The sequence below is a fragment of the Homo sapiens genome, chromosome 12, assembly GCF_000001405.40.
Source record: "Homo sapiens chromosome 12, GRCh38.p14 Primary Assembly".
In the NCBI taxonomy this organism is placed as follows: domain Eukaryota; kingdom Metazoa; phylum Chordata; class Mammalia; order Primates; family Hominidae; genus Homo; species Homo sapiens.
The window spans coordinates 75,347,242-75,375,139 of record NC_000012.12 but is presented as its reverse complement, the minus strand read 5'-3'; the positions used below and the strand labels follow the sequence as shown (position 1 = coordinate 75,375,139).

Below are 27,898 nucleotides of genomic sequence, written 5' to 3'. Positions count from 1 at the left end.
GGGTGAGGGCTATTGTGGTAGGAAAGGCCAAAAAGAAGCCATTAGAGATGCCTCTACCTAGAAAAATAGTAAATCAAAAACAATATTGCAGCCCTGGGGGGATTGCAGAGATTAGTGCCACCATGAAGGACTTAAAAGAAACAGGGATGGTGATTCCCACCACATCCCCATTCAGCTCTCTCATTTGGCCTGTGCAGAAGATAAATGGATCTTGGACAATGACAGTGAATTATCCTAGGCTTAACCAAGTGTTGACTCTAATTGCAGCTGCTGTACCATGTGTGGTTTCATAGCTCAAGCAAATTAACACATATCCTGGTACCTGGTATGCAGACATTAATTTGGCAAATGCCTTTTTCTTGATTCCTGTCCATAAGGCCCACCAGAAACAATTTGCCTTCAGTTGGCAAAGCAAGCAGTATACCTTCACTGTCCTACCTCAGGGATATATCAGCTCTCCAGCTTTATGTCATAATCTTGTTTGCAGAAATATCACTTTTCCCTTTCACAAGGTATCACACTGGCCCCTTACATTGATAACATAATGCTTATTGGACCCAATGAGTGAGAAAAAGCAAAGACACTGGACTCATTGGTGAGATATTTGCATGCGAGGGGATGGGAAATAAACCCCATTAAAATTCAGGGACCTTCTACTTCAGTGAAATTCCTAGAGGTCCAGTGCTATGGGGCCTGTGGAGATATTCCTTCTAAGGTGAAAGATAAGTTGTTGCATTTGGCCACTCCTACAACCAAGAAAAAGGCACAATGCTTAGAGGGCCTATTTGGATTTTGGAGACAACGCATTCCTCATTTGGGTGTGTTACTCTGGCCCATCTGTCGAGTAACTCGAAAGGCTGCCAGTTTTGAGTGTGGGTCTAGAATAGGAGAAGGCTCTGCAACAGGTCCAGGCTGCTGTGCAAGCTTCTCTGCCATTTGGGCCATATGACCCAGCAGATCCAATTATGCTTAAGGCGTCAGTGGCAGATAAGATGTTGTTAGGAGCCTTTGGCGGGCTCCCATAGGTGAATCACAGTAGAGACCCCTAGGATTTTGGAGCAAAGCCCTGCTATCTTCCGCAGATAACTACTTTCATTTTGAGAGAAAGCTCTTGGCCTGTAAGTGGGCTTTAGTAGAAACTGAACGTTTGACTGTGGGTCATCAAGTTAGCATGCAACCTGAAATGCCTATCATGAACTGGGTGCTTTCTGACCCATCTAGCCATAAAGTTGGGCATGCACAGAAGCATTTCATCATCAAATGGAAGTGGTATATACATGATGGGGCGCAAGCAGATCCTGAAGGCACAAGTTACATGAGGAAGTGGCTCAAATGACCATGGCCCCCACTCCTGCCATCCTGCCTTCTCTCCCCCAGCCTGCATCGATGGCCTCATGAGAAGTTCCCTATGATCAGTTGGCAGAGGAAAAGAAGACTAGGGCCTGGTTTACAGATGGTTTTGCATGATATACAGACACCACCCCAAAATGGACAGCTGTAGCACCATAGCCCCTTTCTTGGTATCCCTGAAGGATGCTGGTGAAGGGAAATCTCCCCAGTATGCAGAACTTTGAGCAATGCACCTGGCTGTACACTTTGCTTGGAAGGAGAAATGGCCAGATGTATGATAATATAGTGATTCATGGGCTGTAGCGAGTGGTTTGGGTAGATGGTCAGGGACTTGGAAGAAGCATGATTGGAAAATTGATGACAAAGAAATTTGGAGAAGAGGTATGTGGATGGACCTCTATGATTGGTCAAAAACTGAAGATATATGTATCTCATGTGAATGCTCACCAAAGGTTGACCTCAGGAGAGGAGGATTTTAATAATAAGTGAATAGGATGACTCATTCTGTGAACACCACTCAACCTTCTTCCCCAGACACCCCTGTCATCACCCAATGGGCTCATGAACAAAGTTGCCATCATGGCAGGGATGAAGGTTACACATGGGCTCAGCATCATGGACTTCCACTCACCAAGGCTGACCTGGCTACAGCCACTGCTGAGTGCCCAATGTGTCAGCAGCAGAGACCAACACTGAACCCTCGATATGGCACCATTCCTTGGAGTGGTTAGACAACTATTTGGTGGCAGGTTGATTACATTGGACTGCCTCCGTCATGGAAAGGGCAGTGATTTATCCTCATTGGAATAGACATGTACTCTGGATCTGGGTTTGCCTATCTGCAAACAAAATGCCTCTGCCAAGACTACCATCTGTGGACTTGCAGAATGTCTTATCCACCATAATTGTATTTTACACAACATTGCCTCTAACCAAGGCACTCACTTTGTGGCTAAAGAAGTGCAACAGTGGGCTCATGCTCATGGAATTCACTGGTCTTACCGTGTTCCCCATCATCCTGAAGCAGCTGGATTGATAGAGTGGTGGGATTGCCTTTTGAAGTCATAATTACGCCAATTAGGTGACAATACTTTACAGAGCTGGGGCAAAGTTCTTCAGAAGCTATGTATGCTCTGAATCAGCATCCAATATATGGCACAGTTTCTCTCATAGCCAGGATTCACGAGTCCAGGCATCAAAGGGTGGAAGTGGAAGTGGCACCACTCACCATCACCCCTAGTGATCCACTAGCAAAATTTTTGCTTCCTGTTCCCATGACATTACGTTCTGCTGGTCTACAGATCTTAGTTCCAGAGGGAGAAATGCTGCCACCAGGAGATACAAGAAGTATTCTATTAAACTGGAGGTTAGGATTGCCACCTGGTTACTCTGGGCTCCTCCTACCTCTAAGTCAACAGGCTAACAAGAGTTATAGTGTTGGCTGGGGTGATTGACTTAAACTATCAAGATGAAATCAGGTTGGGCGTGGTGGCTCACACCTGTAATTCCAGCACTTTGGGAAGCTGAGGCAGGTGGATCACCTGAGGTCAGGACTTTAAGACCAGCCTGGCCAACATGGTGAAACCCCATCTACTAAAAATACAAAAATTAGCTGGGTGCAGTGATGGGCACCTGTAATCCCAGCTACTCGGAAGGCTGAGGCAGGAGAATTACTTGAACCCAGCAGGCGGAGGTTGCAGTGAGCCAAGATCGTGCCACTGCACTCCAGCCTGGGCGACAGAGACTCCGTCTCAAAAAAGAAACAACAAACAAACAAACAAAAAAGATGAAATCAACCTACTACTCCTTAATGGAGGTAAGGAAGAGTATGTATGGAATACAGGAGACTCCATAGAGCGTTTCTTAGTTTTGCCATGCCTGTGATTAAGGTCAATGGGAAACTAACAACAGGTAGTCATAAATACAACCACGTGACCAGTTGCAGAAACGAGGACTGTAATTGTCATAAGTATTTTCTCCTTATTTTGTTAAGAATATGTTTGTGCATGTATACACTTGTACTAAGAAAGTATCTTCATTTTATTCCCTCTATTTTTCCTTTATCATGTGACATAAGATTTACTGACTTCATTTAGACATTTAAGTGTTCTTAACTTTATGTAATAACATTTAGGTTAATGATTAGAGCACTTCCGGTTGTACAAAGGATAGCTGTATTATATTAGACATAATTATAACCTTATTATTGTCTTTATTTGGAGATTATATATGATTTCAGGAGATGTGTATTTTTCAAGTAGACAAGGGGTGGACTTGTGATGGTTAATATTGTCAACTTTATTGAAGGATGCAAAGTATTGTTCCTGGGTGTGTCTGTGAGAGTATTGCCAAAGGAGAGCAGTGAACTGGGAAAAGCAGACCCACCTCAATGTGGGTGGGCAACATCCAATCGGCTGCCAGCTAGAATAAACCAGGCAGGAGAAGATGGAAGAGCCGACTTGCTGAATCTTCCAGCCTTCATCTTTCTCGTGTGCTGGATGCTTCCTGCCCTCAAACATCAGACTCCAGGTTCTTCGTCTTTTGGACTCTCGGATTTACATCAGTGGTTTACCAGGTGCTCTCAGGCCTTCAGCCACACACTGAAGGCTGAATTGTCGGCTTCCCGACTTTTGAGATTTTGAAACTTGGACTGAGCTACTGCTGGCTTCCTTGCTTCTCAACTTACAGATGGGACTTCACCTATAGATCATGTGAGTCAATTCTCCTTAATAAATTCTCATTTATACATGCATATAACCTAGTAGTTCTGTCCCTTTAGAGAGCCCTAATGCAATAGCTGAGGGAAGCTGGAGCTTGCCTTAGTTGAGAAGAAAAACATCCAGATAATTTACTCCACAGGAGTCAACAATTCAGCATTGATGATTTTGAAAACTGAATTTATTAAATATTATGTTTTTTTCCTTCAGAAAAAAGAAATGCCAGTACTGAATAATTATCTGGTTTGTAGAAATGTTGTTACCTATACTAATTTTATATGGCTTTTAAAAGATATGCTGTTAGCATCCTGTTATTTTCTGTGGGGCATATTTAAAAATAAATCTCCTAGAAGAGTGCAACTTTAATTTGCAGAACATATATTTACTTTTTAAAGGTTGAAAATTTAGTTAATTTAACTTTTTGAGTTTAATTCATTGATTTATTCCCCAACCATTGATTATGGCCATAATGTATAACATTACATGCTATCTGAAAAAACTTTCCTCAGTAACATTTTGTTTCTGAATGATGTTGATGGTATTCATAAAGGAAACTATTGGTATCTAAGGAAACTATTTGATATGTGAAAAGTCTTTAGTTCTCTAAATGTACTATAACTAAAATGATAATCCATTCTCATTAGAAAATTAAAGAGTGGAACACTTTTGATACACATATGGATTTGTAATTAAAAAATAATCTTAAGACTTTATTCTACTGCTATCCATTTTCCATACTACAGTACATTTTTTGAGTTAAAAACAAACATTAAATTTAGGTATCAGGCAAGAGTGTAGAAGATTCAGTAAAGAAGCAAAGTGATGATAAGTTATATTAAGCAATAAACTATTCCTTTATTTTAACATTTGAGAATTTCTTTTGTATATAAATGACATTAAAAGATTCTCAGAAGAAGAAAACCTAAGCTGAATGGATTAAAGGCTGTCTGCTGAGGTGCTCTCCCCGTTGGCTTCAGAAATGGATTTTCTGTCAAAAACAAAAACAAAACCAGAATAGTTAAGAGTTCAATTGATTTTCAACGGGAGGAAATAATTTAATTAATACTAAAATATTTTGATACATACGGTTAGGTATAATAAGTTGTGGAGTCCCTAAAGTAAAAATTAAAGTTAATATTATAAAATGTTATAAAACAAGAAAACATATTTCTTTGCTTTTATGGCTTTTAGAATAAGACAATCAACTAACAAAAATTAGTTTGACTTTTTAACAAGAAAATGAAACTTTCCTACTCAATCCTACAGTACTTAAAACTCTTTACGATGCTTCCTACCAACAGTGTTATGTCAACAAATATTTCTAAAACACCTCTGAGTGTTGAAGGCACAAAAGTCAAAACCAGAAAAAGCTATAAAGTAGTTAACTTTATTTTTCCCACTCTTTCATTCCCAATTCACGTCCCTGAAGAAACGTAATTTCTTCATGTTGAATTTTTTGTATGCAGAACTCATTAACAATCTCATTCATTTCTGTAATGGTCCTTACTCCAAATATTTCTCGATGTCTTTTCCACATCAAACTTTCCTCCCCAGTTTACCATTCTAATAGCATCCAGCACTTCATTAGGAAATAATCTACTTAAAAAAATAATTAATTAATTTTTTTGACCTTCTACTACGTATTCAGCATGATTCTAGCTTTGGATATAATGGTTACCAGCAAAAAATAAAATCCCTTTTATTGTGGAAAAATGAGGAGAGAAAAATCTATACTCAATTTTAAAATTAAATAAATAAATAAGATGAGTAAAAATGATAATGTCAGCGATGAATGCTACAAAATATAAACTGGGTTAAATGATAGAAAATTTGGAACTGAATTATAGTAATAGCTAAAATGTATTGAAAAATTACTTTTTGAGAGGCTCAAATAATTTTGTGTATTTAATCATATTTAATACGCTTAATCACCTCTTGAGTTAAACCATCTGACTCCAAGGTCTACATATATAACTGTTATGCTATATTGCGTATCTCTCAAATAAGAAGCCAACCAAGCTAAAATATATTTTCTGATAAAGATTGATCAACAAAAAAGAGAAAAAGTACAAGTCAAAAGTCATAGAACATAAATGAAACATAACTACACATGAAGTACATGCAAAAATATAAGAGAATTTCATTGAAATGTGGATAAAACAGAAAATTTGCTAAAGTCTTCCACAAACCCAAATATCCCATAATGATGAAAAAAATTAGTAATTAAAATTTACACATAACACACTCACACTAGAACAAAATAGCTTTATAGAGAATGTCTACTAAACATTAAAAAATTAATCAGAATCTTATACACACTGTAACCAAAATACTAAAGGCAAAATTATGTCCAAATGCCAACTTTTTAAAATGAGTCTAATACAAACTTGAAGTCAAAAATCAAGGAAAAATGCAGGAGGAAAATTATATGGCCAAGCACAATTCTAAAAATAAATGCAAAAATTTGTAAATAAAAAAAGTTAACAAGGATCTAGCCATCTCTTAAGGAAACCTCATGACCAAATTGGATTTATCACAAGAATGAAAGAATAACGTAATATTGTATTCCTGGGGCATCACTTAACTCCTGGTACCTTTCGAAATTTTACAGTGTAGCTGTGTTATATTAGAAACCCTTTGATACAGTTTGCAACATTAAGACACTAAAAGAAAAGAAGTAGCATTAGTTCAAGAGATGCAGGAAAAAATTGTTAAAGTTAACATGTATTCAAATTAAAAACTCAGCAAAATAATGAAAAATGCAGGAGGAAAATTATATGGCCAAGCACAATTCTAAAAATAAATGCAAAAAATTGTAAATAAAAAGTTAAAAAGAATCTAGCCATCTCTTAAGGAAACCTCATGACCAAATTGGATTTATCACGAGAATGAAAGAATAATGTAATATTGTATTACTGGGGCATCACTTAACTCCTGCTACCTTTTGAAATTTTACAGTGTAGCTGTGTTATATTAGAAACCGTTTGATACAGTTTACAATATTAAGACATTAAAAGGAAAGAAATAGCATTATTTCAAGAGATGCAGGAAAAAATTGTTAAAGTTAACATTTATTCAAATTAAAAACTCAGCAAAATAAGGAAAAGAGAAAACTTTTATAACCTGGCTATGAGGACCAATGAAAATAATCTAAAACAAACATACACAATGGTGAAACATTGTCTTTAAATTTAAGAATAATAGAAGGGTGTGTCTATTGTTACAGCTTATGCTCAACATTGCACTGGAGAAATGAATGAACTATCTGTTAATATTTGTGAAATAAATAATATAAAGATTAGAAGAAAGAACAAAACGCATTATTTTTAACGGAAGACATGATTTGTCATCATATAAAATCCAAGAAAATCAATAAACTGTCAGAAATAATAAGAGAGTTTGGTAAAAGTGTTAATAGACTAATATACAAAAGCATTTAAATTTTTTAAGGCAATAAAATCAATTATCAAATAAAATTCTAAAATATTTATAATAACTACAAATATATTACAAAAAAGAATATAATTTGATGTGCAAGACCTTCCTGTGGTACACGACGTGGAGATGGAAGGTGGTTATATTGATGACTCTGACCCTGTGTAGGCCTAGGCTAATGTGTGTATTCGTATTTCAATTTTTAACAAAAAGTTTAAACAGTAAAATAAAAATTGTAAGTGGAAACAAGCTTATAGACGGACATAAAGAAATAAAATACTTTGGTATAGTTATACAATATGTTTGTGTTTTAAGCTAAGTGTTACTACGAAAGAGTCAAAAAGTTCTTTTTTTTTTTTTTTTTTTTTTCCTCCTAGGAAGTTGTTGTTTAGGATCCTAATTCTAGTTTAGAGGTACATTCTAAAGGATCTTCTCCACTGCCATTTTCTAAAGCCAAGGAGAACCCCCCGCCTTTTGGGTACCCTATTTGGTTTCCACTTTGGAGGTGTATTCTAAAGTGTCTTCTCCATTACGTTTTCTCCCCAAATTAATCTCAGTTGGCTTGTCTGTGCATTTTTGTGAGAAACTTAAACTGTCATTTTTAGAGATAAATGAGAGACTTACCTCCTCAGCTCTGAAGAGAAAGGACATTTTGTTACTGCAAGCTGCAAGCTGCCCCTTGGGTGACTGGGGACTGAGTGGGAATGTCTGGGTGGTTAACCCCTTTTGACATGCAGTGGCCCTACAGGGAACCCTCAACAAAATTAGTTTTAAAAGACTCATTCAAGAAATGCATATAGAGCTGTTCACTTGGCATTTTTAGCCCTCTCAGAGGTGATAGACCTCTGAAGAGAGAAACTGAGACACATAAGAGCGTGGAAATGACTCATTGGTAAAACACTGCAGTCTCACCCAAAATCAGCACACATTGATCTGCAACACAAAAAAACCCTAGGCCACAGCTCCATTCCTCCTTTTAAGAAAAAAAAAAAAGTAGGCAACAATCTGAAGAAGAGGAAAGACAAGAATGATCCACTTTGAGGTGCCGTGTTAGTTTTAGGGTGCCTCTCTTTGCAAGTGTTTGTGCAAAATGAAAAAGTTTGAGGGCATGCCAGGTTTACTAGTACCCAAACTAGTTACATATTATGGTCTGTTTTGCACATTTTAAGCTAATAGGCAAATTACATCAAAGAAAAATTCATAGCCCAAAGGTCAATCTGCAACTCAAGAGTTCCTAAGTTCTCTACTTCTCTATTTTCTTTTCTGCCTGCTTTAAATCTGCTGTTACTTTTCTACTGAGACAAAACCCACTGTTTAGATCCAATCTTCTTCCTTTCTGTAAACCAGTGAGTTTGTATTAATATCTTATGGCTTAAGTTCTGAAATAAAAAATGGGATCTTTCTATGAGTGTGTATGTATGTGTTTATGTATTTTGTTATGGATTGTGGCCACAAGGTACCAAACTGGCTTAAAGTTAAGAGTAGTCATAAATTAAGTAAAATAATAAGCCCACATGCTTTTCAAGTTCACATGACTTAAATAAAATCTTTAATAAATAAACTGGCTTTAAAATTCTTTGTAAAGTAACATTAGAATTAGAATTGTAGCATTTTTCTTTGTTTATTGATCAAGTGGATTCATATTTATCCCTGGCAAATATTATAAGGTGTCAAAATTTTGCATAAGGGTTATAAAACTATAAAGCCAGCCCAAAACAGAATGATCTTTGCTTGTGTAATTTTTGCTAAATAAGACATTTGGTATTGTTGGTTTAATGAAAACAGCTACATACTGAATTATTGGTAAAATACTCATATAGTTAGCCTTAAGTTTATTTCTTGAGTAAACACCCACAATTCATAGGGTATAAAAATGGTTAACAGGGAAATAATTTTAAATGATGACTATCACAGTTTTTATAAATACTGTAGGTGAACTATTAAATAATGAGGTAAATGTAATAGAATAAATGTTTGTAAAAAACTTGTCTAAAGTTTGTTTGAATCTAAAGTTATATTTAACAATGTATATTCATTAACTCTCTGGGCAACATCCAACTTAAAAAATGATAGGAAAACATTTTTTTAAAAATGTATTCTTATTGAAAGGTAAATAATGTTTGTTTCATTCAAAGGTTATTTAAAAGTTATATGCAAAAGAAGGTAAAAGGAATTATGAATTATCTCTTGGCTACAGTAATCCTCTAAAGAGTATCAGGTTATAATTTTTTATGTTTTTAGTTAGTGCCCTAGTGGAATAGTTTCCTTTTTCTGTTCTAATGAATACTTTCCTTTTTCTGTTCTAACACACACATTCTTTTTTAATTGTCAAATTATTAATGTGATTTATTGCTCATGGTTTTACTTCTTCCAGGAAAACCAGAATCATGGCATTCTGAAGACAACAGATGATTTGACAAAACCTACAGATGTTCCTCATTTGGAATCCCATTGAGCCTGATCTGCTTTTCATTGCATATGCTCTGTTGCTAAAACTATACAAGCACCTTCCCTCTAGGCCCAGGGACTATTGTGCAAGAGGTGGTTGCATGAGATTACAAGGGCTGGTTTTGAGGGATATAATTAGTTCAGATCCTCTCAATGAAGGATGGGTACACAGATGCCTAAACAGCTGGTAAAACAGGGACTTTGCCTTCTGAGCTGTTATGTGGCACCTTTTAATCCATTCTAACCATAAATAATTTGCTGATTCCTGTAGAATTAAAAACAAATTATTACTGAAAGAATATAAAGATACCCATGACAAAGCCTCCTGGGTACTCCCAGTTATGAGATTTATGAAGATAATTATATATTAAAAATTTTTATCAGACACCTTGGGACACATTACTAAAGACAACAAAAAGAAATGTGGCACAACAAAAAGCTCTAAATTCCTTAGCTTAAAAGGTTTTAATAATGCTTATGTTCTGTGTAGCTAATTGCTATAAGTCTGTAACTAAAACCAAGATTACAGCAGCTCAATGTATAGAAGTTAAAGATAAGTTAATTTTGTATCTTCACCTTTGTGTTTTTGTTTGTTGGCTTTTATATTACTTAAAAAAATTTAACAGTTAATGAATGCCTGTCTATGTCCATTCCCATCTGGGCTGGAACATTTAAATTGGCTATAAGTTTTTGGATCTAGGTCCCTTGGCAATAGGGGTTCCACTGAGGGACAGGATGAACCTGGGGCAGGCAGCCATGCCACCCTGACAACACTATGCGATAAAGTAAATGTTTACTGGCCATTGATCTTGCCTATGGCAAATGTTGGCCAGAAGGGGGAGAATGTAAACCAAAACTAAAATTCTAAGCCCCCCAACCATCTGAATGGACCTCTACTTTTGGCAAGGTGCATTCCAAAGTTAACCTGAAAACTAGTTCAGGCCATGATGGGAAAGGGGAGGTCAGACATGTCTCATTATACCTTCCTCCCTTTTGTAATTCAGAAAAAGCTGACCAGCATTAACACCAATACAGATCTTAAGTCTAATAGAAGAGACTCTTTCAATCTGATAAGAAACATTTACAATCTAGTCTCTCAGAAGCCTGATATCTTGAGGTTTCATCTACTTAATAAACCCTTGGTCTCCACAACCCCTTATCTTAACCGAGGTATTCCTTTCTATTGATCGTAAGCCTTTAGACAATTACTTAACTCAACCAATTGCCAATCAGAACATCTTTGAATCTGCCTTTGACTTTTGACTTGCAAGCCCTACTTCCAGTTGTCTTGCCTTTCTGGACAGAACTAATGTACATCTTGCATGTATTGATTGATGTCTTAGTCTCCTTAAAATGTAAAAAACAAGTTGTAGGCTGACCACCTTGGACACATGTTCTCAGGGTCTCCTGAGGGCTGTCTCACAGGCCATTGGTCACTCATGTTTGCTCAGAATAAATCTCTTCAAATGTTTTACAGAGTTTGATATTTTGTTGACACATGGCTCCATTTTTTTTTCCTCTGGCCTCACTGCCCAAAATTTATACTTTTAGTCTTAAAAAGCATATTTATTTTGAGAACCAAAAAGCTGATCATGAAAGAGAAACATGTTAGTTTTAAATCATAATTACTTTGGACATTGACTGACAAATTACTTCTGAATGGGTCACTATTCTAATAACTAATAACAAGAGGTCAATGAAAGCGAGTAAAAATAAGAAGCATTTCAACCCATAGTTATTTTCAGTGCAGCAGCAAATTGAATCATGGTTGTACCTCATTCCTTTCTGCTCTTTAGCTTCAGAGGGGGAGTAATCAGTGAAGAAAGCAGGAATCATCTGAGTTTAAGTATTACAATTTATGACATGATTTATATCGTAAGATAACAACAGTCAAATCTTGTCCATAGTTTGTAAACTTGAGAAGCCAAATTTTAAAATTTAATAAATATATGGAAACTTTACTCTCTAAATGTAATTATATATATATATTTTTGCTTACTGCAGAGGTTCTTTACACATTTCTCTTCTTTTGAGCAGAGAGAGCAAGATTCTCCTCTTACGTAAGGAGGCATATTTGCAAAATTTCCTCTGTAAAAAAGAGAAACATTGATTAGCCAAATGGCTGTTAATTTCTCCAATTTTGTTCATGCATGTATGCAAGTTGTTTTAGTCATTTATTAAGTCATAAATGTTGAAAATGAAAAATAATAATGTCTCAATTTTATTTTCATTTCTTTTGTTAAAATAAGCTATTAAAACAATTCCTTACAGGATGAATCACGTGGAAGTTCTATTCTTGAATATTCTATAGAAGAATAATGAGATGTGAACCCAGTGTAATTATGCATGTGATAGTTGCAAAGTTTTTGTCATAGATAGTATGATTATTTCTTCATTTTGTACATGAAATAAGTAATATTTAAGTATGAACATAAACATGTGTTTTATGTTTTAATTTTAAAGTATAATATCATAGTCCTTATCTAGTTCTATTTGATGATGTACGACTTGACAGCTATTATGCCTGATTTTTAATAGTATAAGTCATAAATTTTTCAAAGCCTCTTTATCTTCTATCTGTGAAAGATTTAAAAATGTGTTACTTTAACTTAGAGTACACAAATAAAAACATAACAACATGAGTAGTATTCCATTAAAGAATATGCCACAATTTAGTTACATATTCTTCCATTGATGGGCATTTGGGTTGGTCAAGTTTTTGGTCACTACCAATAGGGTTGCTATGAATGTTGAAAGCATTCATACATACATCATTATAGGGACACAGATCTAACAGTGCATGAGAATACCATGGCCCTCACATTGTCCCCAGCATTTGGCATGGTCACTCTCTAGCCATTCTAATAATGGTGTAGTGGTATTTATTGTGACCTTAATTTGTATTTTTTAAATGATGAATGATGATGAGCATTTTAATGTGTGTATTTGTTACCTACATATCTTCTTTGTATTTAAAAAAAATTAAAATTGAGTTTTAAGTTTTCTTTATATTGAGTTGTGAGAGTTCTTCCTATATTCCAGGGTACATCCTTTATTTGATAATTGTTGCTGTTATTATTGTTGTTTACAGACTTTCTTCCAGGTGGCTTGTCTTTTCATTCTCTTAACAGTGTCTTTGAATAGTAGTTATTTTTAATTTTAATGACATTAAATTTATATATCATTGTTTTAATGTGGTAGTTTAAAAATCTTTGGCTATCTAAAGGTCGTAGAGGTTTTTGTTCATCTTTTCTTCTAAAGTTTTTATAGTTGTAGGTTTTACATTTAGGTCTATTGATATGGTTTGGCTCTGTGTCCCCACCCAAATCTCATCTTGAATTGTAATTCCCATGTGTTGAGGGAGGAACCTGTAAGCCCCAAGTTTAGGGAGGGAGGTGATTGGATTATGGGGGTGGTTTCCCTCATGCTGTTCTTATGATAGTGAGTGAGTTCTACTGAGATCTGATGGTTTCAAAAGTGTTTAGAAGTTCCTCCTTCTCTCTTATCTCTCCTGCTGCACTGTAAGGAAGGTTCTGGCTTCCCCTTCACCTTCTGTCATGATTGTAAGTTTCCTGAGGCCTCCCCAGTCACGTGGAACCATGAGTCAATTACATCTCTTTCCTCAGCTAAAACAGGCTGAGGTACAGCTTGGGCTGTTGCTTCAGAGGGTGCAAGCCCCAAGCCTTGGTGACTTCCATATGGTGTTGAGAGTGGCAGGAGGCAGCCAGATGCCTAGGCAGATAGGGTTGGGTTCCTGGTGAAACCCCACCTTCAAGCCAAAGACAGTTTAAAACCTGAAAGCCAAGCTACAAGTTAAATCTTTGTACTGGATTGAGAACTTGTTTTCTTGTTTGGTGCACTCTCCTCTGATTGATACCCACCCTTCACCTATTTTACATATACCTACCCTTTCCTAATTAGTTTTCTACACTGTTGTGGCCAGCTTTGAGTGGTGTCTTCACTTTAACTTTTTATTTATTTATTTTTTTTGGCATACCAACAGACCAATCAGCACACACTCTTCATTCTGAGTCCATAAAGAGCCCCAGTCCCAGCCACAAAGAGGTACTTTCCAGTCTTTGGGTAGGGGAACCATCCCCTTCCTGCCACATTTCTCTTTGTTGAGAGTTTCTCTTTTGCTTAATTAATTCTACTCCACTCACTTTCCAGTGTCTGCACACTGGAAATTCTTCCTGGTTGTGAGACAAGACCTCAGACTTATCTGAGCTAAGGGGAAGAAAGACTGCAACAGTGTTGGGCCTGTGGGTACACAGAAGTCAAGAATTGAAGATTGGAAACCTCCACCTAGATTTCAGAGGACATATGGAAATGCCTGGATATCTAGGCAGAAGTCTGCTACAGGGGCAGAGCCCTCATGGAGAACCTCTACTAGGGCAGTGTGGAAAGAAAAGGTGGGGTTGGAGACTCCACACAGAGTCCCCACTGGCACACTGCCTAGTGGAGCTGTGAGAACAGGGCCACCATTCTCCAGACCTCAGAATGGTAGATCAAATGACAACTTGCACCATGCACCAGGAAAAGCCACAAGCTCTCAATATCAGCCTGTGAAGGAGCTGCCTAAGGCCATGGGAACCCACCTCTCCCATCAGCATGCCCCCGATATGAGACATGGCGCCAAAGGAGATTATTTCAGAGATTTAAGATTTAATGACTGCCCCACTGGATTTTGGACTTGTGCAGGGCCTATAGCCCCTTTGTTTTGGCCAATTTCTCTCATTTGGAATGGGAGCATTTACCCAATGCCTGTATCCCCATTGTATCTAGGAAGGAACTAACTTGTTTTTGATTTTACAGGCTTATAGGCAGAAGGGACTTGCCTTTTCTCAGATGAGACTTTGGATTATGGACTTTGAGTTAATGCTGAAATCATTTAAAATTTTGGGGGACTGTTGCGTAGGCATGATTGGTTGGGAAATGTAAAAAGACAAGAGATTTGGATGGGCTGGGGCAGAATGATAGGGTTTGGCTCTGTGTCCCCACCCAAACCTTATCTCGAATTGTAATTCTTATGTGTTGAGGGAGGGAACTATAATCTCCACATGTTGAGAGAGGGAGGTGATTGGATCATGGGGGCAGTTTCCCCCATGCTGTTCTCATGATAGTGAGTGAGTTCTCATGAGATCTGATGGTTTTAAAGATGTTTTGAAGTTCCTCCTTTTCTTTCTCTTGCTGCACTGTGAAGAAGGTGCTTGTTTCCCCTTTGCCTTATGCCATCATTGTAAGTTTCTGAGGCCTCCCTAGCTATGTGGAACTGTAGTCAATTAAACCTATTTCCTTTATAAATGACCCAGTCTTGGGTATTTCTTTATAGCAGTGTGAAAATGAACAAATACATCAACGATCCATTTTGAGTTAATTTTTGTAGTTGTATAGATCCAGGTTACTTTATGGATAACTAATTGTTCCAGTATGATTTATTAATTTTTTTTCCACTGAAATACCTTTGTGCATTTCTGAAAAATTAGTTGAAAATAATGTGGTCAACAATGTGTGAGTCTATTTCTGATCTCTGTATTCTATTTCACTAATCTATTTGTCTAACTTTATGCAAATACCACAATGTTGGGAATATTTTACAGTTTTAATAACTTTTGAAAACCATATTATTAGCACTTGAAAACAATAGTATTAGTCCTTTAAATTTATTCTATTTCAAGTTGTTTTGGTTATTCAAAATTTTTGCACTTCCACATGAATTTTCTGATCAACTTGTCAATTTATACAATAAAATCCTGGTGGAATTTTTACTGGGATTGTCTTGAATTCATAGATCAATTCAGCAAAAAAAAAAAAAAAAAAAAAAAAAAAAAAGACAACAATGCTGAGTCTTCTAACTCATGAACAACTGAACAACATATATGTCGCTATTGTGTCTTTGTTAGTTTCTCTCATGATATTATGTAGTTTTCAGTACATGTCTCTTTCTTTTGCCAGATCTATTCCTAGATAATTTATATTTTTTGATGCTATTATAAATGATGTTATTTTCATTCAATTTCTGGTTAAGTGTTAGTATACAGACATGTAATTAATTTTTGTATACTAATTTTGTATCCTAAAAGATTGCTAAACTTATTTGTTTTAGATGAGTTTTGGTAGATTCCAGTGGATTTTCTATACAGTAGCAATCAGCACAGTGTGGCCCAGAGGCCAAATCTGTCCTATGGTCTGTTTTTCTATATTTTTATGTTCTATCTTTTTTATGCAGTCTTTAATAATATATTATATATTTATCTGTTTTATGCAGTCTGTACTAATATAATATATAATTATATGTAATATATATAATTATATATTATATATGTTTAAACCATATATAATATATTATATATTGTTATATATTATATATATTTAAACATATATAATATATTATATATTGTTATATATTATATATATTTAAACATATATAATATATTATATATATTTAAACCATATATATAATATATTATATATATGGTTTAAAAAAGCAAAACAAAAAGAAACACAAATATGTAACAAAATGTGTATGTGGCATGCAAAGTCTAACATATTTACTGTCTGGTATGTTACATACAATTTTTTTTTACTATTAGGCATAATGTTAGTGGTCAGTTTTTCATAGGTGTTCTTTGTTGGATTTGTGACATTCCCTTCTATTTTTAGCTTGTTAGGAGCCTTCATCAGGAATGAATGTTTGGCTTTTTCTGAATCTATTGAGATAATCATATAATTCTTATTTTCAGGTTGATTAACTGATTCATTTTAGAATGTAAAATGAGACCTGCATTCCTGGAATATACCCCTCTTAGATAAAGTGTATTATGCTTTTAAAATATTGTTGGATTCAATAGCTAAATTTTGTTTAGATTTTTTTGTACCTATGTTTGTGAGGGATATTGCTCTATACTTTTCTCTTTATTTCTCCTGTGTAATTTTTGTCTTTTGAACAATTCTCTCATTTCATCCAAGTGGTAAAATTTATTGGCATAAATGTTATTATTATTTTCTTATTTTACTTTTAATATTTGTAAAATCTGTAGTGTTATCACCTATGTTCTCATATTATTTTTATCTTTTTTTGATCAGTATGGTTTGCAGATGATAAATTTTATTAATAAAATGTTAATCTTTAGTTTTCATCGATGTTTTTAACTGTTTTTCTGTTTGTTATTTTATTTATGTATGCTTTTATTTTTGTTATTACTTTTTTTTTTTTACTTTAGATTTACTTTTGTCTTTTTTGTCCCCTAGTTTCTTAGGTGGAAGGCAAGGTCATTGACTGGAGACTGTTCTTTTTTTTCTATTGTGGGCCTTTGGTGCCATAAATTTTCTCATAATTACTGTTTTAATAGCATCCCGTATGTTCTTATTTTAATTTCATTCAGTTCAGCATACTTTCTAACTTCTTTTTTGAGTTATTCTTTGATTCATGAGTTATTTAGAAGTATGTTAGTATTCAAATATTGGACATTGGACATTGGACAATGGTTTTTCTGTTAATTTGTAATTTAATTTTGCTGTCATCAAACAACATACTTTGTATTATTTTAATACATTTAAATGTATCAAGATCTGTTTTATGACATAGCATGTGGTCTTTATTATTAAATATTTCATGTACACTTGAAGAAATATATATTCCTCTGTTTTGGGGTGGTATAGTCTACCATGTCCATCAGGTAAAGTTGCTTGAGAGTGTTCAACTCTATATCCCTACTTATTTTCTATCTACTTGTTTTTCCTTTTATCAAATGGGATAATTGAAATACCTAATGTTAATTATGGATTTATCTAATTCTCTTTACAGTAATATTGGATCTTATTTTACATAATTTTAATCTATGTTTTTAGCTGCTTAACATGTAGGACTCTTATGTTCTCTTGATTAATTAACCCAATTATCATTGTGAAGTGAAATTTATCTCTGATAATATTCTTTGCTCTGAAATCTACATTTTCTGATACTAATGTAAACAGTGCAGCATTTATTTATTTATTTAGCGATGGAGTCTCACACTGTTTCCCAGGCTGGAGTACAGTGGTGAAATTATAGTTCACTGCAGCTGCAAAATTCTAGGCTTTACTTATACTACCACCTCAGCCTCCTGAGTAACTGAACTACAGGCATGTGCCACCATGCCAAAGTAATTTTTTTTTTTAATTTTTCTATAGATGCAGTCTCACTCTGTTGCTAGGGCTGGTCTTGAATTTCTTGCCTCAAATGATTCTCCCACATCAGCCTCTTGAGTTGTTGGGATTACGTGTCTGCTGTTGTGCCTAGCACTGTAGCCTTCTTTGACTGATGTTAGCATGGTAAACTTTTTTCCATTCTTTTGCTTCTAGTCTATTTGTGTTTTTATATTCAAAGTGAAAAAAAGAATCCTAAAGTTTTTCATAGGCAGCATAAAGCTGGTTTTCAATTTCTTAGCCAATTGTGCAATTTCTGTTTTTTAGTTTGGGGCATTTATACCATTTAAATTTAACATTATTATTTATAGTTAGGTTTGATGCTATCATCTTATTCATTTTATTTGCTTCATCTGTTTTCTGTTTCCCTTTTCCTTTCTTTTTGCCTTTCTTTGGGTTAATTAAATATCTTTTAAAAATTCCATTTTACCTGCTTTGTTGGCTTATTTGCGATTACTCTTTGTTTTGCTTAATTTTAGCAGTTACTTTAGAATTTATAGTGTGCATCTTTTACTTATCACGATCAAGTTAGATTATCGCACTTCACATGGATTAGAAGAACTTCAAGGTGGTTCAATTTTACATATACAATATCACAATACATTTATTTTGATTAAATAATTATCTTTGAAAGAGAATTAAATAAGAAAACATCTTATATATTTATCCACAAACTTATCATCTCCAGTCATCTATAAACATATTTAATGTTTATTTTTAAAAGATTTTCTGTGTATAGAATTTTCAGTTGACAGTTTTATTTTGCTTTTGTTTTTAAAGATATTGCTTCTTTTGCATTATGTCCACTGAAAAATCTGCTGGCATCTCTTTTCTTTTTCTTTTTTTAAATTATATTTTTGTTTTTATTTTAAGTTCCAGGGTAAAAATGCAGCATGGGCAGGTTTGTGACATAGGTAAATGTGTGCCATTGTGGTTTGCTGCACAGATCAACTCATCACCCAGGTATTAAGCCCAGCATGCGTTAGCTATTTTTGCTGATGCTCTCCCTCTCCCCACCCTACCCCCAACAGGCCCCAGTGTGTGTTGTTACCCTTTGTGTGGCCAAGCGTTCCCATTGTTCAGCTCCCATTTGTAAATGAGAACATGTGGTGTTTGGTTTTTCTGTTCCTGCATTAGTTTGCTAAGAATAATAGCTTCTAGCTCCATCCATGTCCCTGCAAATGACATGATCTCATTCCTTTTTATGGCTGCATAGTATTCCATGTTGTATATGTACCACATTTTCTTTATCCAGTCTGTCATTGATGGGCATTTAGGTTGATTCCATGTCTTTGCTATTATAAATAGTGCTGCGCTGAACCTACTTGTGCATTTATCTTTGTAATAGAATAATTTATATTTTTTGGGTATATACCTAGCGATGGGATTGCTGGGTCAAATGGTATTTCTGGTTCTAGATCTTTGAGGAATTACCATAGTGTCTTCTACAATGGTTTGACTATTGTGGAGTGTACATTCCCACCAACAGTGTAAAAACGTTCCTATTTCTCCACAACCTCACCAGCATCTGTTGTTTCTGGACTTTTTAATAATTGCCATTCTGACTGGCATGAGATGGTATCTAACTGCGATTTTGATTTGCATTTCTCTAATGACCAATGATGTTGAGCTGTGTTTTATAGTTCGTTGGCTGCATAAATGTCTTATTTTGAGAAGTGTCTGTTCATGTCTTTTGCCCATTTTTGAATGATTTTTTGTTTTGTAAGTTTACTTAAGTTCCTTGTAGATTCTGGATATTAGACCTTTGTCAGATGGATAGATTGCTAAAATTTTCTCCCACTCTGTAGGTTGCTTGTTTACTCTGATGATAGTTTCTTTTGCTGTGTAGAAGTTCTTTAGTTTAATTGATCCCATTTATCCATTTTTGCTTTTGTTGCAATTGCTTTTGATGTTTTTGTCTTGAAACGTTTGCCCATGCCTATGTCCTGAATAGTATTGCCTAGATTTTCTTCTAGGGTTTTTATAGTTTTGGGTTTTATATTTAAGCCTTTAATCCATCTTGAGCTAATTTTTGTATAAGGTGTAAGGAAGTTGTGCAGTTTCAATTCTCTGCATATGGCTAGCCTGTTCTCCCAGCACCATCTATTAAATAGGGAGTCCTTTCCTCATTGCTTCTTTTTGTCAGGTTTGTTGAAGACTAGTTGATTATAGATGTGCGGTCTTATTTCTGAGTTCTCCATTCTGTTCCATTGGTCTGTGTGTCTGTTTTTGTACCAGTACCATGCTGTTTTGGTTACTGTAGCCTTGTAGTGTAGTTTGAAGTCAGGTAGTGTGATTCCTCCAGCTTTGTTCTTTTCTGCTTAGGATGTCTTGGCTACACAAACCCTTTTTTGGTTCCATATGAATTTTAAAATAGTTTTTTCTAATTCTGTGAAGAATGTCAATGAGTTTAATGGGAATAGCATTGAATCTGTAAATTACTTTGGGCAGTATGGCCATTTTCACGATATTGATTCTTACTATCCATGAACATGCAATGTTTTTTCATTTGTTTGTGCCTTCTCTGATTTCCTTGAGCAGTGGTTTGTAGTTCTCCTTGAAGAAGTCCTTCACTTTTTTTTTAGCTGTATTCCTAGGTATCTTATTCTCTTTCTAGCAATTGTGAATGGGAATTTATTCATGATTTGACTTTCTGCTTGTCTGTTGTTGGTGTACAGGAATGCTTGTGACTTTTTTTGTCTGCCAAAGTTGCTTATAAGCTTAAAAAGCTTTTGGGTTGAGATAATGGGGTTTTCTAGATATAGGATCATATCATCTGCAAACAAAGACAAAGACAATTTGACTTCCTCTTTTCCTATTTGAATACCCCCCCCCCTTTTTTTTCTCTTCCCTGATTGCTCTGGCCAGAACTTCCAATACTATGTTGAATAGAAGTGGTGAGAGAGGACATTTTTGTCTTATACTGGTTTTCAAGGGGAATGCATCCAGCTTTTGCCCATTCAGTATGACATTGGCCATGGGTTTCTCATAAATGGCTCTTATTTTTTGATGTATGCTCCTTCAATTCCTAGTTTATTGAGAGGAGTTTTTAACATAAAGGAATGATGAATTTTATTGAAGGCCTTTTGGCATCTATTGAGATAATCATATGGTTTTTGTCTTTAGTTCTGATGATATAATGAATTACATTCATTGATTTGCGTATGTTGAACCAGACTTGCATCCTGGGGATGAAGCCAACTTGATTGTGATGGATAAGCTTTTTGATGTGTTGCTGGATTTGGTTTGCCAGTATTTTATTGAGAATTTTTGCATTGATGTTCATCAGGGATATTGGCCTGAAGTTTTTTGTTGTTGTTTCTTTGCCAGGTTTTGGTATCAGGATGATGCTGGCCTCATAAAATGGTTAGGGAGGAGTCCCTCCTTTTCAGTTGTTTGGAATATTTTCAGAAGAAAGGGTATCAGCTCCTCTTTGTTCTTCTGGTAGAATTCAGCTGTAAATCTGTCTGGTCCTGTGCTGTTTTTGGTTGATAGGCTGTTCATTACTGCCTCAATTTCAGAACTTGTTATTGGTCTATTCAGGGATTCAACTTCTTCCTGGTTCAGTCTTGGGAGGGCATATGTTTACAGGAATTTATCAATTTCTTCTAGATTTTCCAAGTGATTTGCACAGAGGTGTTTATAGTATTCTCTGATGGTTGTTTGTATTTCTGTGGGGTCAGTGGTGATACCCCTTTATCATTTTTTATTGTGTCTATTTGATTCTTCTCTCTTCTTTATTATTCTATTTAGTTAGTAGTCTATCTGTTTTATTAATCTTTTCAAAAAGCCAGCTCCTGGATTCATTGATTTTTTTGAAGGGTTTTTCTTGTTTGTATCACCTTTAGTTTCACTCTGATCTTGGCTTTTTCTTGTCTTCTGCTAGCTTTGGGGTTTGTTTGCTCTTGGTTCTCTAGTTCCTTTAGTTATGATGTTAGGATGTCAATTTGGGATCTTTCTAGCTTTTTGATGTGAGCATTTAGCACTATAAATTTCCCTCTTAATACTGCTTTAGCTGCGTCCCAGAGATTCTAGTGTGTTATATCGTTGTTCTTATTAGTTTCTAAGGACTTCTTGATTTCTGCCTTAATTTAATTATTTACCCAGGAGTCATTCAAGAGCAGGTTGCTCAATTTCCATGTAGTTGTGTGGTTTTGAGTGTTTCTTAATATTGAGTTCTAATTTGATTGTATTTTGTTCTGAGAGACTGTTATGATTTCAGTTCTTTTGCATTTGCTGAGGAGTGATTTACTTCCAATTATGTGCAGTTTTAGAGTAAGTGCCTTGTGGCACTGAGAAGAATGTATATTCTGTTGTTTTGGGGTGGAGAGTTCTGCAGATAACTGTCAGGTCCACTTGATCCAGAGCTGAGTTCAACTTCAGGATATTTTTGTTAATATTCTGTCTCTGTCATCTGGCTAATATTGACAGTGGGGTGTTAAAATCTTCCACTATTATTGTGTGGGAGTCTAAGTCACTTTGTAGGTCTCTAAGAACTTGTTTTATGAATCTGGGTGCTCCTGTATTGGGTGCATATATATTTAGGACAGTTAGCTCTTCTTGTTGAATTGATTACTTTACCATTATGTAATGCCCTTCTTTGTCTTTTTTGATCTTTGTTGGTTTAAAGTTTGTTTTATCAGAAACTAGGATTTCAACCTCTGCTTTTTTCTGTTTTCCATTTGCTTGGTAAATTTTCCTCCATCCCTTTGAGTCTATGTATGTCTTTGCATGTGAGATGGGTCTCTTGAATGCAGCTCACTGATGGATGTTGGCTCTTTATCCAGCTTACCATTCTGTGCCTTTTATATGGGGCCTTTAGGCCATTTACATTTAACGTTAGTATAGTTATATGTGAATTTGATCCTGTCATCATGATGCTAGCTGGTTATTTTGCAGACTGATTTATATAGTTGCTTCATAGTGTTGTTGGTTTGTGTACTTCAGCATGTTTTTTGTAGTGACTGGTAACCATTTTTCCTTTCCATATTTAGTGCTTCCTTCAGGAGCTCTTGCAAGGCAGGCCTGGTGGTGATGAATTCCCTCAGCATTTGCTTGTCTGAAAAAAAATCTCATTTCTCCTTCGCTTATGATGTTGTTTGGCTGGATATGAAATTCTAGACTGAAAATTTTTTTCTTTAAGAATGTTAAATATTGGGCCAGCACGATGGCTCATGCCTGTAATCCCAGCACTTTGGGAGGCCAAGGAGGGTGGATCACCTGAGGTCAGGAGTTCGAGACCAGGCTGGCCAACATGGCAAAACCCCGTCTGTACTAAAAATACAAAAATTAGCTGGGTGTGGTGGGGAGCGCCTCTAATCCCAGCTACTCAGGAGGCTGAGGCAGGAGAATCACTTGAACCTGGGAGGTGGAGGTGGTAGTAAGTCAAGATCACACCAGTACACTCCACCTTGGGTGACAGAGTGGGACTCCATCTCAAAAAAAAAAAAAACAAAACAAAACAGAGTGTTAAATATTGTTCCCAATCTCTTCTGGTTTTTAGGATTTCTGCTGAGAGGTCTGCTGTTAGTCTGATGGGCTTCCCTTTGTAGGTGGCCTGGCCTTTCTCTCTGGCTGCCCTTAACATTGTCTCCTTCACTTTGACCTTGGAGAATCTGATGATTATGTGTCTTGGGGTTGATCTTCTCATGGAGTATCTTACGGGGGTTCTCTGGATTTCCTGAATTTGAATGTTGACCTTTCTTGCTAGGTTGAGGAAGTTCTCCTGGATGATATCCTGAAGTGTGTTTTCCAACTCAGTTCTTTCTCCCCATTTATTTCAGGTACCCCAATCAGTCATAGGTTCAATCTTACATAATCTCATAGTTCTCACAGGTTTTGTTTGTTCCTTTTTTCTCTAATCTTGTCTGCCTGCCTTATTTCAGCAAGATAGTCTTCAAGCTCTGATATCCTTTCTTCCACTTGGTCTGTTTGGATATTGATACTTGTGATTGCATTGTGAAGTTCTTGTGTTGTGTTTTACAGCTCCATCAGTTCATTTATGTTCCTCTCTAAACTGGTTATTCTGGTTAACAGCTCCTGTAATATTTTATCATGGTTCTTAGCTTCTTCGCAATGTGTTAGAATATACTCCTTTAGCTCAGTGAAGTTCATTATTATGCATCTTCTGAACCCTATTTTTGTCAATTCGTCCATCTCAGCCTCATCCCAGTTCTGTGCCCTTGCTGGAGATGTGTTGTGATCATTTGCAGCTGAAGAGACACTCTGGCTTTTTGAGTTTTCAGCATTTTTGCGTTGATTCTTTCTCATCTTCAAGGGTTTATCTACCTTTGATCTTTGAATCTGCTGACCTTTGGATGGGGTTTTTGTGGTCTTTTTTTATTGATGCTGTTGTTGCTTTCTGTTTGTTCTTTTAGCAGTAAGGCCCCTTTTCTGTAGGGCTGCTGTGGTTTCCTGGGGGCCTACTCCAGACCCTGTTCACCTGGGTCCCTCTGACACCTGGAAGTATCACCAGTGGAGGTGGCAGAACAGCAAAGATGGCAGCCTGATCTTTCCACTGGGCATTCTGTCCCAGAGGGGCATTGACCTGATGCCCGCCAGAATGCTCCTGTATGCAGTGCCTGGAGACCCCTGTTGGGAGATCTCACCCAGTCAGGGGAAATAGGATAAAGGACCCACTTAAATAAGCAGGAATTTCCCTTGTCCAGACTACCCAGACTCCTCAGAGCTTGCCATCAGAAAAGGATAAGATTGCAGTCCATGATACTGTGGCTGCCCCTCCTCCTAGGGGCTCCTCTCAGGGAAATCAGAGATCTGTCCATAAACCCCTGGCTGGGGGTGCTGAAAATCCCTCAGGTAGGCCCTGCCTGGCAAGAAGGAATGTGTCAGGGTCTCGCTTAAAGAAGCAGTCTGGCCACAAACTGTCACAGTGGCTGTGCTGTGCTGTGGGGAATTTCTCCTGGTCCAAACCAGTCAGTCTTGCTGGCACCAGCAGCAGGGGAAAATGGCCAACTGGAGCCACAGTGGTGGTGGGCACCCCTCCCTCCCGGGACCCGGTCTTCTTAGGCAGTCTCCAGCCTGCCCCGCTGGCCAGCAGGGAGTCCAATGTAAGGAAATCAATTTCCACTAAAAGTTGTATTGCAGCTGATACACTTTTTATCTTTTTGGATATTTTTTCCTCTATGGATTCTATCTTGGATAATTTTTTTCTTTTCTTTTTTTAAAGAGATAGGGTCTTGCTCTGTTTCTCAAGGCAATCATGGCTCACTGCAGTCTTGAACTCCTGAATCACTGTCTTGGATAATTTCTAATGTTATGATTTTGAATTCATTAATCTTTTTTTCTGGAATGTCTAATATTTCATTAATTTTAACTTCTAAAAAATCTCAGACATTGTAGTCCTCTGTTTTTAATATTTTTCATATCTTTGCTTAACATTTAAAAATATAGAGTACAGTTATAATAACCATTTTAATGTCTTTCTCTTTTAATTATAACATCTGTGTAAGTTCTGCATTCATTTCAACTTATTGATTCAGCTTCTTCTTATGTCTTATTTTTTTCCTTCTTTATATGGCTGGTAATATTTCATTAGATGCCAGACATTGTAAGTGTTAGGTGCTGGGTATTGTGTATTTCTGTAAACCTCCTTGAGTTTTTTTGCTGTTGTTGTTGTTAAAGTTATGTTGTTCTTTTCTTAAAATTCTGTGCTTTTATAATCATTTTCAATCATTTCTTATGTGGGATACAGTCAAATTACATGGGAACATTTTGATCCTTTCAGGTTTTACATTATGAATTGTTAGGTGGGTCTGGAGCAGTTTAGTTCTGCTCCCTGTGTGAGTGCCAAGAACTGTGTCCTCTTATTCTTTCAGATGCTTCTTAACCTGGCCTGAAGTTGTTTCCTCACGTGCATGTGTTAATCAATACTCTAGGAATATTATTTGCAGATTTCTAGGGTTCTCTCTGTGTGTAGTTCTCTTTTCTCTGGTACTCTTTTCCGTGAACTCTAGCTGTATTGGTATTCCTATACTTTTAGCTCCATTTCTTCAACCCAGGGAGCCAGCCAACCTCTGTCTTAGTAATTTCATATTCCATGACCTGAACACTCTCACTGAGACAGGAAGCTGGGGGAATTATAGGGCTAACTTTTTTTTGTTGTTATTTTTCAGAGATCACGGCCCTTTGTTGTATTATAGCCAGTGTCTTTAAAACCATTGCTTCATGTGCTTCATCTGTTTTGCTTTTTATGGCTTTTGTTTCAAGTGACAGGGTATATTGGTCCCTACCACTTGGCCAGGGGTGACATAACACTATTCTCGTATGCTTTCACAAGACCCATAAGAAATCTGTTACGTACATAATTTGTTTGGACCCCAAAACCTGACTTATTCAAAGCAGTATGATGCTTAACTGCTTTTTCATCAAATCTTGAGCCTTCATCCCCTATTATTATTCTCTTTCCATTTCAAATCTTGTGATTAGTCTCCTTAAGAGAAAAGATGATAATAAATGTGTCAGTAGTTTTATAATTTCTCTGAATCTATAAAAACTCTACTTTTCCCAAGCTATAAAAATTTGTATTTTTCATTCTTGTTTTTGCTTCCAAGTGAAAGGTCATGGAAGAAAATACAGAGAGATATATACACATTTCTGCCTCTCTCTAGTACTTTTGGCATATCTCAGCTCCTTTTCATCAGTTTTGCATATTTATTCTTTGTCTTTGTTTTTATCTTTTCTACTGCTTATTTTTAAATTGATGTTTGTTGAAGAGCTGGGTTATTAACTGTTTTTATAGTCTTCCTAGTATAGATTCACCAGGATTAGAGGACTAGAATTTCATTTTTGGAGTTTCCCTTTAAGCTTATGCTATATTTTCATTTAGATATGCAATTATCAGCAAGACAATTAAAGTTATGTTGTTCTTTTCTTAAAAGTATGTTCTTTTACAATCATTCTCAATCATTTTCTTATTCCACTTATTTTATATTATATTAGAGAAGCATCTGCCAGCCTTTTTGTGTTTCAGTATTTATATATTACTGTGGCAACATATTTTATATTATCTCTTTTTTTAAACCTATCAGTCTCCATCATTTTCTCTCTCAAGTTTAAATATCTTATAATAGGTATAATTTTTCTTTAAGTAAGGCAATATTCTGTCACCATCTTCTATTTTCACCTATCTCATTTGATTAGCATTGTAGAGGGAGTCATTACTTATCAAAAATACACTTGTGTCTAGTATAAGGTCCTCTTATTTGGCAACCATCATCAACATTAATTTCAATTAAAATATTTTTAAGAGAAAATAACTCACGCAGGTCCGTAGTTGCATACAAATATTGCAGTTGAAGCTCCCCCAAGGTTAGGACACATTGCAACTGCACAACCGACATAAAATGAATTGGCCCAAACTAACTATAAAGAAAAGGAATGTCAAGATAAAATATGGAAAACAATTCTATGCAAACAATGCATTTAGAGAATTGGTATAATCTTTGTCATGCTACAAAAAATAATGTACATAAATATTTATTAGTTACATATTTTTTCTAATGTTTATATTTATATTAAAATTCTTATATTGTCATGGCTGATTTTATGAGAGCTACCAAGCTAGTTTTTCCTTACTGGTAATTCTTATAAATCAAAAGGATAATATAATATATAACCAAATTCATAATATACAGCCAAAATAATTTCTTCTAGATTATTTATGAAATACATTTTAATTCTATCCCTGGGAATATCATACAAACAATATGAAAATCAGACTATAAATGAAAACAATAACTTAC

The 27,898-nt window shown here is 35.7% G+C and overlaps 2 protein-coding genes and 1 long non-coding RNA gene across 28 annotated transcripts in view; 2 read left to right on the top strand and 1 right to left on the bottom strand.

Annotated features, from left to right (window-relative positions):
• The window catches only part of CAPS2 (calcyphosine 2), a 114,923-nt gene that overhangs the window by 15,762 nt on the left and 71,263 nt on the right, over positions 1 to 27,898 (top strand). For 8 of the 24 annotated variants that reach the window (NR_149159.2, NR_149157.2, NR_149160.2 and 5 more), the window contains one exon: positions 3,658 to 4,061. The exons of the other annotated variants lie outside the window; for them this stretch is intronic. The gene's annotated coding sequence lies outside the window, so the exon portion shown is untranslated. The remainder of the gene's footprint in view (positions 1 to 3,657; positions 4,062 to 27,898) is intronic. 24 annotated transcript variants of the gene reach the window in all.
• Positions 4,580 to 27,898, bottom strand: part of GLIPR1L1 (GLIPR1 like 1) — a 35,891-nt gene continuing 12,572 nt past the window's right edge. Inside the window, exons 3-6 of one of the 3 annotated variants that reach the window (NM_001304964.2) lie at positions 27,418 to 27,518; positions 11,950 to 12,038; positions 5,154 to 5,180; positions 4,580 to 5,055 (exon numbers count right to left, since the gene is read on the bottom strand). In NM_001304964.2, coding sequence (NP_001291893.1) covers positions 4,964 to 5,055; positions 5,154 to 5,180; positions 11,950 to 12,038; positions 27,418 to 27,518 — 309 coding nt within the window. In that variant the 3' untranslated portion in view covers positions 4,580 to 4,963. Of the gene's footprint in view, positions 5,056 to 5,153; positions 5,181 to 5,467; positions 5,664 to 11,949; positions 12,039 to 27,417; positions 27,519 to 27,898 lie in introns of those variants that run through there. The other 2 variants (NM_152779.4, XM_011538134.4) reach the window with 2 other exon arrangements.
• On the top strand, positions 13,671 to 15,257 carry LOC124902968 (uncharacterized). The gene is made up of 2 exons (XR_007063372.1): positions 13,671 to 14,015; positions 14,121 to 15,257. It is a non-coding gene; the product is annotated as an uncharacterized LOC124902968 (long non-coding RNA).